Genomic DNA, 14,596 nt, shown 5'->3' on the forward strand with positions numbered 1-14,596 from the left:
CTCTTTAAAATTGGAATATATTTCTCCAAATGTTTATAGCCCACAGTTGGAAAAGATTTTTTTCACATAGCCATATCTGGATTGTTTGGTTTCTCTTTCTCTCTCCCTTCCTCTCCCCACCGGCCTCCTCTCTCTCTCTCTCCCCCCACCGGCCTCCTCTCTCTCTCTCTCCCCCCACCGGCCTCCTCTCTCTCTCTCTCCCCCCACCGGCCTCCTCTCTCTCTCTCTCCCCCCACCGGCCTCCTCTCTCTCTCCCCCTCGCCCTTTTTTGCTTCCTTTTCCTTTAAACCACTAGCTTAACTCCTCTTCAGACAATTTGGGGGTGGGGGGAGGGTCCCACAGGTGGAAGTGTGTCCCCACGTCACATTTTTTAGAATATGCAGCCATACTACCCTCCTTATGGACAAACTGGAACTATTTTATTTAATTTAATACCACCAGATTCATTTCAGGGCAAGAAGGGGAGGGGATATTAATCAGTTTCAGAACGTTGCAACAAATTACACTTAAAGAACAGTTAGGAACTTGTTAATCTTCTGTCACCTACCTTGATGTGGTGCTGGGGATCTGGATTAGTCATTTAATACCTGCAGGCAAGACCAGAGCACGTGAATACAGGGAAGTCATTACAGCCAACCTGCTATGGTGTCTGAGTTTCTAGTCAGAGCCAGCCGCTGGCTGGAGTTAGAGTGGACACGTGAGTGAGTGATTCAGATTTGTCAGGTAACCAAGTAGCAGGTTCTGATAGGAATTTGATATTGGATGTAATTTCTTAGGATTTAATATTGAGTCCTTATACTTTAACTTTTATACAGAAAGATAACTAAGACCCTTTATGTTAAGTTTATTGCTGTCTTCCAAGACTAGGCAAATTTTCAAAACTTAAAAATGATCTCTGGTTAACGTCAATAATATGTTTTATACTTTTTGGCTAATCTGGGAACAATTAATCATAACTAGATACTTTTAAAAGACATATAGGCTTGATTACTTAGGGATATGTTTTCTAGTTGTTTGAGGCAGGGTCTCGCTCTGTCGCCTAGGCTGGGGTGCCATAACACAATCACGGCTCACTGTAGCCTCGACCTCCTGGGCTCAAGCGATCTGTCTACCCCAGCCTCCCAAGTAGTTGAGACTACAGGCACACACCACTATGCCCGGCTAATTTTTTGTATTTTTTGTAGAGGCAGCGTTTCACAGTGTTTCCTAGGGTGGTCTTGAACTCCTGGGCTCAAGTGATCCTCCCGCCTTAACCTCCCCCAAAGCTTGGGGATTACAAGTGTGAGCCACTGTGCCCAGCTGTTTTCTAGTTTAGATTGGAATATATAAATTCCATTGTGATGTTACTTTATTTCAATTCTGTGATATAATACCCATGTATAAATTATAGAGCCTAAAGTTGAACCCATAATAACCTGAAGTACCAGTTTTTGACTTTTTCTGGTAACAGATCAAAATAATAATTACTGTCATAATTACTCTTTCTGTTTTTACTACTACAAAGAAATACAATCAAGCTGAAACATGTGTCTCTCTTCCTCAGCAGTGTACTTGGGCAATGCAGTAATGAGAAGTGTGTTCACTTGCTGTATTAGTCTGTTCTCATACTGCCATACAGAAATACGTGAGACTGGGTAATTTACAAAGAAAAGAAGTCTAATTGGCTCACGGTTCTGCAGGCTGTACAGGAAGCATAGAGGCTTCTACTCCATTTCTGGGGAAGACTCAGGGAGCTTTCAGTCATGGTAGAAGGCAAAGAGGGTGCAGCAATAAACACGGCAGAAGCAGGAGGAAGCGAGGGGGTGGGGGCTGCACACGTTTAAACAACCCGATCTCGCAAGAACTCACTCATCACTAGAGCAGCACCAGGAGATGGTGCTGAACCATACATGAAAAATCACTCCCATGATCCAGTCACCTCCCACCAGGCCATACCTCTGACATTGAGGATTATAGTTGACCTGAGATTTGGGTGGGGGCACAGATCCAAACCGTATCACTAGCTCTCCTCCACAGTGCCTGTCTCAGTGTAGCAAGGTAATTCTCCCTTAATATTTGGAAGATTGATCTGGGTCTTCCAGCTTAGTCTGGGACAGTCAGACAAATAAGTATAAGACAATCAAAATCAAAGCACTATAAAACACATAATCGCATTAAGGTAAATGGTACTGACTATAGGTCTTAGAGAAATGTAGACAAAGTCAGGCTGGCCTAGAATAATATTAGATAAAGGTTTAACACCCTAACTACCTTCAGTAAAGAATTATTAGGGGGCTCCAGTGACATAAAGCGCTTTGAAAAGCATGAGAGACTATATAAATATGTGATGAATATTACACTTTGATTTACACACGAAGGGTCTGGGATAGATTATCAGAAGAGTTCATGGGTCAAATGCCACAGGTGAGAATAAGCATTTCATGGGTACTGATGAGGAAACTCAAACAGGGTGTGAGTTGGGAGTGGGGTACTACATGATGACTGGGGAAGACCTTGGGATACTTCACAAAAATTCATGTGGCACCTGTATGAATAATTGGTGGGAGCACAGAAAAACATCAGAATTAAGGGAATTGCTGTTTTCAATCTTTACACACAAAAATTATAACAAATTAGATAAGGCCAAGGGCAGTGGCTCACGCCTGTAATCCCAGCACTTTAGGAGGCCGAGATGGGAGGATCACTTGAGCCCAGGAGTTCAAGACTGGCCTGGGCAACATAATGAGACCCCTTCTCTACAAAAAATTAAAAATTAGCTGGGCATGGTGACGTGCGCCTGTAGTCCCAGCTACTCGGCAGGCTGAGGCAGAAGGATCACTTGAGCCCAGGAGTTCGAGGCTGCAGTGAGCTATGATTATGCCATTGCACTCCAACCTGGGCAACACCGCAAAACCCTGTCCCCCACCCCCGCCCAAAAAAAAAAAACCACAAACCCATATTAGGTATTCATGCAAAAACTCAGTGATACCGTAGCCAGCAAATCCTCTGAGAAGGGAATGCAGCTCTTCCTTAAGTCTGCTTTGTAGTGTTTGGTTGTGTGGGTTTTTTTAACTTCATAAATCATGGGAAGCTGTGCTGGCAGTAGGAGATAACTCAGCAGTAGACAGATTGCTCTTCGCTGCTTTCTTTTAAGAAGCAGGTTATAAAACTGTTGGGAGCCTGGTGGAGTAGTTAATAGATCATCGTAAGCAATTTGAAGTAATTTTTTTTTTTTTGATACAGCCTTGCATTTTGAAGGCAAGCGAGCTAGAGAGAAAAGAGTTTAGTGAGTAAGAAATCGGCGCCACCTCTGATTTTGTGCCACCTCTGGCACAAGTTTCAGGGCCTCTGGGTCCCCCAGCCTGGAACTTGTGCCACACTCTCTGCCTCACTGTGTGGCCAGTCACTTGCATCTGTGGCAGAGTCCCTGCGGTGAAACCCATGTTGGAATGTGACTGTTCAGAATGATACACGTTCTTGTCAGTGCATAGTTGGCATTATGATATGTTTTTCACAAAAATAGTTCTATAATTTAGCCTGTTTTTTACATCCTAAAATACTTTGTCTCCTGCTAGTACATTTTGGTAATAAGCCTTGGGATCCCAGAGCATGCTGCTGGAGTATCTCTTCATTGATAGGTCTATTACTACGTAGACATCGCCGTAAGGCACACATTAATACAAGGCAATGTTTGTAGTAGGCTGTGGTCCCTCCTAAACCATGAGATAGCTGCATTGAAGTGTCACGAGCAGAAACAAATACCTGGCTTGGGAGTACTTTAAATTAGCAGATAACTGTCACTTGAAAGGTAATTAAGAAGCTTCTGCCAATGGCTCTCTTTTTATCTCTAGACACTGTCCCCAAAAGCTTTTAAGTTACAGTCTTGTTGGTCACGACTTATAATAGGCCTGCCATGCCGATGATACAGTGCTAAGTTAGCCAGACACTTAAAAGATCTTTTTGATAAATATAAAATATTTTTAAAGGAATTGGGAAACAAAACATCATGTGAATAAAAGTTTGTTTTGTGATCCTGGACTGGGTTTTAGATGAAATTCATGAAATCAGTTCTAAAACTTGAATCTTACTTTGTTTCAGACCACTAAGGCTTTTCTTCCTACGATGCTGGAGATTAATCATGGTCATATTGTGACAGTTGCAAGTTCCTTGGGATTGTTCAGTACTGCCGGAGTTGAGGTTTGTCAGATATATAGCATTTCTTTCGTTCAATCTGTTTATCCTGTGATAAGTACACCAGAACCTCCAGGAGAGCACCTGCTGCCCCTCCATTCATGAAAGCTGCACGAAGGCACTCTGCATGTGTGCTGCATGTAGAATGTTCCACAGGAACCCAGGGCCAGCCACTGGAATGGAATTCTATGTCAGGTGTGGTGGCGCACACCTGTAGTCCTAGCTACTTGAGAGGCTGAGGTGGGAGAATCGTGCGAGCCCAGGTGTTCAAGACTGCAGTGAGCTATGGTGGCACCACTGCACTTCAGCCTGGGAGATAGAGCAAGACCCTGTCTCTAAAACAAAACAAAGAAAGGGAATGGACTTCTGCCTCTTCTGCCATAAAATCTCTTACACTAGTTTGACAAAGCAGCAGCGACAAGAAAAGTAGATGGGCCAGCCCTCAGTGTGCCCATTTTCATTAGCAGCTTCACTTGACGATGGCAGGAGGCACAGGGCCAAGAATGGAACCATGGAAAGCTGTGGGGAACAGAAGAATGAGGCCAGAGGTTCACATTCGGTTGTGGTCACCTTGCCAAAACTGAGCTATCTTGTATTAATTAGCCCATCAGATGAGGCGGTCAGGTATCCTGCATTGTAAGTTTGTAGAATTGTAGAACTGGATTTCATCAAACCCTGTTCTTCACGATATTCAGATTATAAAGTATGAGTATATATGTTGTTCTATCCTGTTTGTCCTCTGCATGCCTGTAAAACTGAAAACATCACTCCATGCAAATATGCAAAAGGACACATTATTTAAATAGCACCTATATCAAGGGATTCCATTTCTGAAGTTGGGCCATGGACAATAACTTTTTTTCTATATTCTGTGCCTTTAGGTTAAGTTCTAGTTTAAGATTACAAGGCATGATTATCATTTTCATTTTAACTTCGCCTTACAAAGAAAGTCAAATCATAACAATTTATAGCCTAAGCTAGATTTGCCTTTATTCTTCTTGCATTAATTTAAACAAACTGGTTTTTCTTTCTCCTTTACTGAACAAGAGACCATTTGTAAATTTTCCAGACACTTCAAAGTGAACCTCTCTCCATTTTAACTTCAGCTTGTGAGCTTTCATAGAATCCTTTATGGTAACTTCCCCAAAGTAATATGATACTTAGTTGATGTGACAAAAAGTATTCATCTGTTTCTGCTGTTGCTTTGAAAATATTATTTCTGCACTGAACCACATCAGGTATCTGGTTTGTGTTTTTTTTTTGTTTTTGTTTTTGTTTTTGTTTTTGTTTTTTTTTTTTTGAGACAGAGTCTCACTCTGTCACCCAGGCTGGAGTGCAGTGGTGTGATCTTGGCTCACTGCAACCTCCACCTCCCAGGTTCAAGCAATTCTCCTGCCTCAGCCTCCTGAGTAGCTGGGACTACAGGCACAGGCCCACCATGCCCAGCTAATTTTTGTATTTTTAGTAGAGGCGGGGTTTCACCATTTTGGCCAGGCTGGTCTCGAGCTCCTGACCTTAAGTGATCCAGCCACCTCGGCCTCCCAAAGTGCTAGGATTACAGGCATGAGCCACTATGCCCAGCCAGGTATCTGTCTTTTAAAATGATTTCCTTTTCTTTGTGTAGTCACCTGTAACCTTATGTATTAGACATCTAAACATGGTAATAGGACCAGGGAAGCTTTAGTTTGGTTGGAGATAGGGGCATATGCTTAGTATTTCTGCTTTCTCCCCTCTTTAACTCAGGATTACTGTGCCAGTAAATTTGGAGTTGTGGGTTTTCATGAATCCCTGAGCCATGAACTAAAGGCTGCTGAAAAGGATGGAATTAAAACAACCTTGGTTTGCCCTTATCTTGTAGACACTGGCATGTTCAGAGGCTGCCGAATCAGGTCAGTGAGAACCTATATTATTACTGATAAAAAGAATATGTTGGGAGAATATGTGGAACTGGACTTTCAAACATAACCTTGTATTTTAACTATCATTTGACAATCTGTGGCTTTTATTGGTCAAGATTTGTAAAGTTTGTAAAATTGGTGTATAAGATTTGCAAAGGAGAGACTGGTGCTACACACTGATACTAATTTGCAGAAATTAATCCAGAATCATTAGATAGGAAATGGCTTCTCTGTAAAGAGAAAACATAAGTATCCAGTCTTTTCCTTAGAAGCTCATCTTTTGGAGTTATTTTGTTTCTTTAAAATTGGTATTGGTAAATAAGGATTCTAGAAGAAAATTCCTTCATGTGACTTGGGTCTGGATATGAAGCAATGTTACTGTCACAGAGAGTAACGTGCCTTTCTTCTGAAAAGACCATTGAATATTACACTCCAGATTTGGAAACTTCCTTTTTGCAGCAAGCGTATGTAACTAGATTCACTCTGGCAGAATGAGAAGAACCATTTAGATATACTGAAAAATGAAATAAAATACCCACACACATAGAAAGGAGGTATATGGGAATATAAATGTCAAGTTACATCTGACTTGAGCTCAGCAGAATAAACAAAACTGTGAATCATTAAGAGGATGCTTGTGAAGACATGCTTACTTTTATCTTTGCTTGGGTGAGTTTGAAAGGCAAAGGAAGATAACCAAACCAGTTCCCTGTTGGTTGGGGGCCATTCTTAACGTGTACTGAACTGAACAAGCAGCAAAATAGGTGGAAGGTGATTTGAATCACTCCAAAGTCAGGCTTGGAGTCCCAAGTCTGACCTGGAAAATGGACTCTAGCTCTGCCTCTTATCCCACACATGTGTGTGTCTGTGTGAACATGTGTGTGTGTTGGTGGTTTGTTTTGTTTTGTTTTCCTCTTATGTACTTGGGAAGCAGTTGCTGAGGGTCTTGCGGAGCTCTGTTTCCTCCAGTGTAGCATAGCAGCAGGTGCAGGGGTCCAAAGCTATGGTGGCAAAATGAAGAATGAAAGGAATAAATTGCACACTATCATTTCAACATGTAACCCAGTGAATCAAACTGAAGGTAGGATGTCTATATACCCTTCATTTCAGGGGCCCCTAGAGAATATACCTTAGCTTTCCCTCTTCCGGCATCCTGGAAAGTGGATACCTGTGGCCTTCCTTTCACTTTGAAAGCTTACACCCTCATTTTGACTACAACTAATACTAAAAGCTTGGCATCTTGCTTGAGATTAGTGTTTGCTATGCCAAACACCTTCTCCTCTTTCTATTGAAAGCAAAACATAGGAAAATAATTTGAAATACTTTTAAGGCATCTTAAAAACATGACTTTTTCATCTTATGGAAAAGCAGACCAATTTTGCTTTTTTTTCCCAACTTGTTCTCCAGACTGTGCCAATAAAATGTGTTCATAGCAGGAAAATTTGGAAAATACAGAAAAGCACTATGAAGAAAACAAAATGTACCCAAAATCCCATCACTCAGATAACATCACTGTTAATGTTTTGATATGTATTTCCAGTCTTTTCTATTGTGTTAATTTTTCATTTTGTTTTTGAATAAATAACTTTCAGGAAAGAAATTGAGCCTTTTCTGCCACCTCTGAAGCCTGATTACTGTGTGAAGCAGGCCATGAAGGCCATCCTCACTGACCAGCCCATGATCTGCACTCCCCGCCTCATGTACATCGTGACCTTCATGAAGAGGTAACTGGGAGGGGTTCCCTCACTGACTGGGTCTCTCCATGCCTGCCCGATGTCTTAATTGAAACTTCAAGTTTGCTAACAGCTGTGACTTCCCTTTTTCAGCATCCTACCATTTGAAGCAGTTGTGTGCATGTATCGGTTCCTAGGAGCGGACAAGTGTATGTACCCCTTTATTGCTCAAAGAAAGCAAGCCACAAACAATAATGAAGCAAAAAATGGAATCTAAGAATCTTTTTGTATGGAATATTACTTCTATCAGAAGATGATCAAGATGTTTCAGTCCAGTGCACATCAGCATTGCTGACATTTTATGGATTCTAAACTTGTGTTGTTTCTTTTTTAAATCAACTTTTTAAAAAAATAAAGTGTAAATTAACCGACTAGAGTACTTGGAAAATGTGATCAGTACAAGTGAACTTAGGTTGTTGCCAACAGGGTCCTTTTAGGCAGAACCCAGAAACCAGTCAAATCTGTAGAGAAGCAGTGTGACATCTTCAGGTTACCATTATTTTTTAATGAGCAGGAAGTCTAGAAATGATAACTAGACTGTATGTTTCATGTGTGTGATTTTTCAGAATTCCCAGAGTTTACTCATTCTTGTTATTAAACTCTAGCCAGTTGACATCTTCGCAATTTCAAGGACTGATAGTGCTGTATTTTCTCACGTTTTCTAAGTTTCCGTTTTGCAAGGCCTAGGTGACTTTTTCATGGTGTTTGTATGTTTAGCTCTTTTGAAAAGGAATTTTGAAATCTCCATCAACTGAAGTAAATGATGTCTGAGTGTTACAGTAAAGGTGACCAAGTCTCTTTCTTAAAGTCACAATGACTAAAGTATTAGTTGAATTTTTTTTTTTTTTTTTTTGATGGAGTCTCGCTCTGTCACCAGGCTGGAGTGCAGTAGCACAATCACGGCTCACTGCAATCTCTGCCTCCCAGTTTCAAGTGATTCTGCTGTCTCAGCCTCCCAAGTAGCTGGGACTACAGGCATGCGCCACCACGCCCAGCTAATTTTTGTATTTTTAGTAGAGACGGGGTTTCACCATGTTGGTCAGGATGGTCTCCATCTCTTGACATTGTGATCCACCTGCCTCGGCCTCCCAAAGTGCTGGGATTACAGGCATGAGCCACTGCACCCAGCCTTGAATTTTTAATTTTATCTCTGATATACTTCATTAAGTGTCTGGAGACCTAATTATCCTAAAAGATCATACATTTTCTACCTATGAATTTTGCTGCATACAGAAAGTGCCCTTTCCTCAGGAAGTTGCTGTGTTTCATTTCTTTGGATGGACTCTTATCTAGAATACATAGCAGCTCTGCAAAGGAACAGTTTTTAAAAATGGGAACTTCTACATTGAAAAGTCCCCATTTTTGTGCCAACTATGATTAGTGAGAGGAAGAAATCTTATTCTATGGCATATGTATGGAAGGGTGTAAAGATTCTTTTGAAAGGTTTATTCACATTGTAGAACAGCAAATGACATTTTTACAGTATTTTTTTGTAAAGCAAACTATTTTGTGCCTTGAATTTGGTATATGTGTATTAGTGAAACATTGTAAAGGTGAACTTCTACCTCTGTATCTAAATGTATACCATCCACTTGTAAATGACTATAAACTATTATGTGATTGCTTTTTTTTTTAGAATGTCTTGTTTAAATAGTGGCCAATGTTTAAGGCTGTTAAAATAAGCCAACTTTTACTAATTGGGGAGTTTTATAAATGACTGATTAAATTTAAAGAATTAACTTACATGCAATTGTGTGATTATTAGTTATCAGCAGTGTTGTAAGGAAAATTATTGTGTTTTTTTTTATGATCATTATCCCACTTTAGGTAAAGAAAAATATTGGAATGGAATAGTGTTGGGAAACAGACATTAACAACCTAGGGTGCCTGCACTCAAATAGCCGATGTTACTGTCCCTAGATTAGAGACTTGATTAAGGGCTTGTTTGTACCAAAAGTGGGGAAACAATGCCATGACCTGTGTTTTAGTTTGGCTGCACCACAGATCAAATCTGCACTGTGTCTACATATAGGAAAGGTCCTGGTGTGTGCTAATGTTCCCAATGCAGGACTTGAGGAAGAGCTCTGTTATATGTTTCCATTTCTCTTTATCAAAGATAACCAAACCTTATGGCCCTTATAACAATGGAGGCACTGGCTGCCTCTTAATTTTCAATCATGGACCTAAAGAAGTACTCTGAAGGGTCTCAACAATGCCAGGTGGGGACAGATATACTCAGAGATTATCCAGGTCTGCCTCCCAGCGAGCCTGGAGTACACCAGACCCTCCTAGAGAAATCTGTTATAATTTAACAACCCACTTATCCACCTTAAAACTGAGGAAAGTCGTCTTTACATCTAATTTTATTCTTGTGTGTTATAACTTAAACCTATTTCTATTTTTGTTTGTTATTGCCCTTATAAGGGTGTCCATCTCCAAGTTCAATAAACTAATTCATTTAACTTTTTTGTAGAAGTCTTTCATTCCCATGTCCCAGCCCAGTTCAATCACTTCTGTGGCTCTTCCTTGAATGTTGTCCATATTCTCCCTCCCATCTTTAGCTGTGGAGTTTGGAAAGGGATACAGTTAATGCAGGTTTAGAACTATGGAATTCCTACAAGTTGCATTTCTTCATCCCAATGTCACGTTCTTATTAATGCTACATTGCTGATTGTGTGCATTATTGTTTCTAAACATGAAATCTCTTCTAGACAAGTCTGCCTGTTTGTGTTGATCACTTATGTAATTGCCAAGGTTGCTTTTCTGGCTGGTTATTTATCTACACCTGCCCCCACCCCTTAACATGAATGCTGACTTTGAATATGTTCTCTTTTTTGTCATCTGGCCCATTCATGTGAATGTTCAGGGCCACTGCACTCAAGGCTGATCCCCTAAGGAGCACCACCTCTGTCTGTGAGCACCACCCCCAGCTCATACTGGCACTCTCCCTTTCTCTAACCTTTCAACCAATTTAATGATAATTATATTGAGTGGGACCCAGGAATCAAAAGTTTTGAAGCCAACAAACATAAATTCCAACTATTGTTTTCCCCCTTGATCTACCAGGTCTGCTGCTCTGTCACAAAAGATTAGATTAGCCTGACAGGATTGAGCTACGTAAAGCCAGGCTGGGGTGTGTGTGTGTGTGTGTGTGTGTGTGTGTGTGTGTGTGTGTGTGTGTGTGTGTGTGTGTGTTAGGTATCCTGTTTCCTTAGAAGGCTGTAGCTTTCAAATTTTCTCAAGTTAAAAGAAAATGTTTTCTTTTCCAACTGGCAGAAATAATTCTAAATTGACATTGACCTGAATCTTGGAAATTTGCTTTTGCCTCCAGCAAAATATAAGATCAGTAGGGGTTGGGGGAACAGGGTCATTCTTTCTATGCCAAATGTATTGCCTGTGCCTGAGTCAGAAGAGTAGGGAAAGCAAGGATGTAATGGTTCGGAAGTGGTGAGATGTGGGCCCTGGGCACATGTAGTCAGCATTTGCACACCAGGCATCTGCCGAAGCGCCCATCCCAGGGACTCGAGCGTGCAGGTAACTCACAAGTACACATGTAAGTACCTATGTGCACATGCCACAAATGAAGCCTCAGAGTATGATGACATCTCAGTAAGGGAAGGAAAGGTGGCCTGGAAGGTTGGTGATGCAATGGATGGATTTGGGAATGGGAGTTTGCAGATTCCGGGGAACAGATTCTCAGGAAAGGCCCAGAGATCAAAAAAAGTAGATTATACTCATTATGACTGAAGCATAGAACATGGGAAGAGAATGACATGCGTTCCCTAAGGAGATCCCATCTTGAGAATGGCCTTCATTCCAGGCTGAGGAATGGGCCCTTCATTTGATACAGAAGAGAGAAGCCCTAGAAAGTTTTTTTTAGCAGGAAAGTAACAGAAGCAGAGTTGTAAGTTAATAGGATCAATGAAGCCGCTGTGAAGAATTTCAAGGCACAAGAAGTAGGGAGCAGTGAGGAAGGAAGTTATTGCAGTAGTCCACGGGGAGGTGCTAAGAATGGGCCAGCAAGAGAGGGGGATAGGGAATGGAGGGAGAAACCCAGGCTGAGCAACCGATACCGCAGGAGGTTGAACTTGCAAGCCTAGGTGACTGAAGATAGCTTATCCCTCGAGCCAAGTGGTTTTAAGTGGGAAGAACAGAATTCACCAACAGTGAATCTGATTTAGAAATGTTGCATTTGAGATGCCGGGTGACAATAGCTGGCAGACAGGCGAATAATCCTGGCCCTCGGGAAACAGGTTGGTGCTGGGATCCTGAAGTCATCCACATAGAGGCTGTGAAGTGAACAAACCTGGGAGGGGGAAAGCACAGAATGAGTGGAGATCCAAGGACCCAGCTTGGGGAATGTGGGGGAGCAGCAGCAGAAGGTGTAAAAGGTGACAGAGTAAAGTTAAGAAGGGAACTTTCTCCTCCCAAGGAGAAACCAGACTAGAAATAATTATCTCCTCTGCTTGGACCTAGTCCCCAGGCTGAGTCACACTTAAGAAACCTCAGTCTGGCCCAAGAAAAAGAGTCTGTGTGGCCAGCCCTGGGGCAGAGGCCCAAAAGGTGAAGGGCAGTGTTAACAGACAGCACATGGAGGCTTCGACCATGCACTCGGGTTTCTAGTAACTGAATCCATTGTTAAAAGGACCAAAGGAAAATTTCTTCCTGAGTGAATCCTGGAAACTGTTGTTCTTTGGCAATTTTCTTTGCTTGGCCTCAGAAGCATGACTTGCTTAGATGTGCAAGCAATGTTTCATCAGAACCCTGGGGAAAAACAAAATGCACTTTGAGTATCACCAAATGGATACATGTTAGTGCAAATGAACTATTTTTATGTGCCAAAAAGATGAGACAGGACCTGCTTCTATCAGGGTGCTCAAAAAGACGGGTTCCTATCTGGTCCTTGAAGCACTAAACTCACAGCGGGCCAAGAACCTCTCAGGCAGGTCCTGGGTCAAGGTGGACATGCAGTGACTCCCAGCTTTCCCAGGAAATGTCACGGCAGAGCAGTGTGGAACCACAGTCTTGCTACTGTTTATTATGACGCTTTCTGGGGATTGCAGTTCCTACATTACAATAGCTATACCAAAGCACCTACACATTTCACAACTCATCTATTATTTGGGGGAAAGCATTGACAACACACAGCCACACAGTCCAGAGAATCCTGCTCATTGAGTAATTATTTCTCATTTAACGTGCTCCGTTGCTGTAGAGAACTTAATGTCTTCCAGGAGCTCCTCACAGGCTTTTGAGCTGTGACTGTTGAAACATTTCTACCACTAGCAAAACGCAAGAGAATTGATTAGCAAGAAAAACAAAGCATCTTCAGCCCAGATTCTAAGTTTGAGGTTTTCCTGTCAAGGTGATTGAAACCATGCTGCAGGGAGAAACGTGTGTGCATAGCAGCCATGAAGAATGCCCCTCTCCTTGTCCATACCTCATGGGTGGTCCACCTGAATGCCACTCAGCAGGCATCCCCTCCCCCTAGGGAGGAACCTGAGCCCAGCTCCTCCAGCCCTCTGCTAGCAGGTGGCCATCTCCCGGCCAGCCCAGCTTATCCAGGGCCTGAGTGGTCCAGGAGGCTAATGAGCAGATGGGAGTCCTGCCTGGACACAGGCATACTTACGTATGTTGACAGCACAGTATCCGGCAGCCACAGAGTTCCTGCTTAAGAGCTCAGTGTTGTGGATTGGATCATGTCCCCTCAAGAGATGTGTTGAAATCCTGACCCCTAGTCCCTGCAAATGTGTCCTTACTTGGAAATAGGGTCTTTGCAGATGTAATCAAGATGAGATCATTTTGGTCAGGCTCAGTGGCTCATGCCTGTAATCCCAGCACTTTGGGAGGCTGAGGTGGGAGGATCACTTGAGTCCAGGAGTTCAAGACCAGCCTGGATGACATAGTGAGACCCCATGTCTACAACAAATGAGAAAATCAGCTGGGTGTGGTGGTGCACACCTGTAGTCCGAAGAATCGCTTAAGCCCAGGAGTTTGAGGTTGCAGTGAGTCGTGATCGTGCCACTGCACTCCAGCATGGGCGACAGAGGGAGGCCCTGTCTCAACAACGAAGAAAGATGAGGTAATTTTGGATTAGAATAAGCCATAAATCCCATCACTGGTGTTCTTATACAAAGAGACACAGACACACACAGAGAGAAGATGCCATGTAACAATAGGCAGAGATCGGACTGACGTAGCTGCAAGCCGTGGAATGCCAAGGAATTGTATCAAGGACCAACAGCTAGAAAAGAGGCATGGAGCAGGCCCTCCCTCAGTGCCTCCAAAAAGGAACCAAGCCTGCTGACACCTGGATTTCAGATGCATAGCCTCTAGAACTGTGAAAGCATAGATTTCTGTTATTTTAAGTATCACCCAGTTGGTGATGCTTTGGTACAGCAGCCCTAGCAAATGAATACACTCAGGGTCTGTTGTCAGACAGCCTGAGTGCAAGTCCAGCTCTGCATCTCCCTAGCCATGGATCCCAGGTCTTTTTCTTAACCTTCGTAAGTCTCAATCTCCTCATGGGTACACTGGGAATAACTGCAGTACCTATATCAAGAGCATCGTGAGGAATGTGGGAGGACACAGATAAGCACTTAGGACTGTGCCTACCACACCTTGGAGGTGTGCAATAGATTGCATTAGGTTGAATCATATGAAATTGCTGTGACTGAATTCTTTTGACCTACAAAAAAGGCACTTTTATCTCGTTCAACATAACAGTGATGATGGGGGATGGATAGTGACAGTACCTAGATCAGAATCTCTATTTATGGTACTGTTTTGTGTTTC

The 14,596-nt window shown here is 42.4% G+C and overlaps 1 protein-coding gene and 1 long non-coding RNA gene across 2 annotated transcripts in view; one reads left to right on the forward strand and one right to left on the reverse strand.

The window, feature by feature from the left end:
- The window catches only part of RDH10 (retinol dehydrogenase 10), a 30,680-nt gene extending 20,417 nt beyond the window's left edge, over positions 1 to 10,263 (forward strand). Inside the window, exons 3-6 of the mRNA NM_172037.5 lie at positions 4,078 to 4,176; positions 5,914 to 6,059; positions 7,661 to 7,792; positions 7,895 to 10,263. Coding sequence (NP_742034.1) covers positions 4,078 to 4,176; positions 5,914 to 6,059; positions 7,661 to 7,792; positions 7,895 to 8,018 — 501 coding nt within the window. The 3' untranslated portion in view covers positions 8,019 to 10,263. The remainder of the gene's footprint in view (positions 1 to 4,077; positions 4,177 to 5,913; positions 6,060 to 7,660; positions 7,793 to 7,894) is intronic.
- Positions 1 to 14,596, reverse strand: part of RDH10-AS1 (RDH10 antisense RNA 1) — a 45,556-nt gene that overhangs the window by 4,113 nt on the left and 26,847 nt on the right. Inside the window, exons 4-5 of the long non-coding RNA NR_125388.1 lie at positions 6,722 to 7,069; positions 548 to 587 (exon numbers count right to left, since the gene is read on the reverse strand). This is a non-coding gene — a long non-coding RNA (RDH10 antisense RNA 1). The remainder of the gene's footprint in view (positions 1 to 547; positions 588 to 6,721; positions 7,070 to 14,596) is intronic.

This window comes from Homo sapiens, chromosome 8 (assembly GCF_000001405.40).
Source record: "Homo sapiens chromosome 8, GRCh38.p14 Primary Assembly".
Classification (NCBI taxonomy): Eukaryota; Metazoa; Chordata; class Mammalia; order Primates; family Hominidae; genus Homo; species Homo sapiens.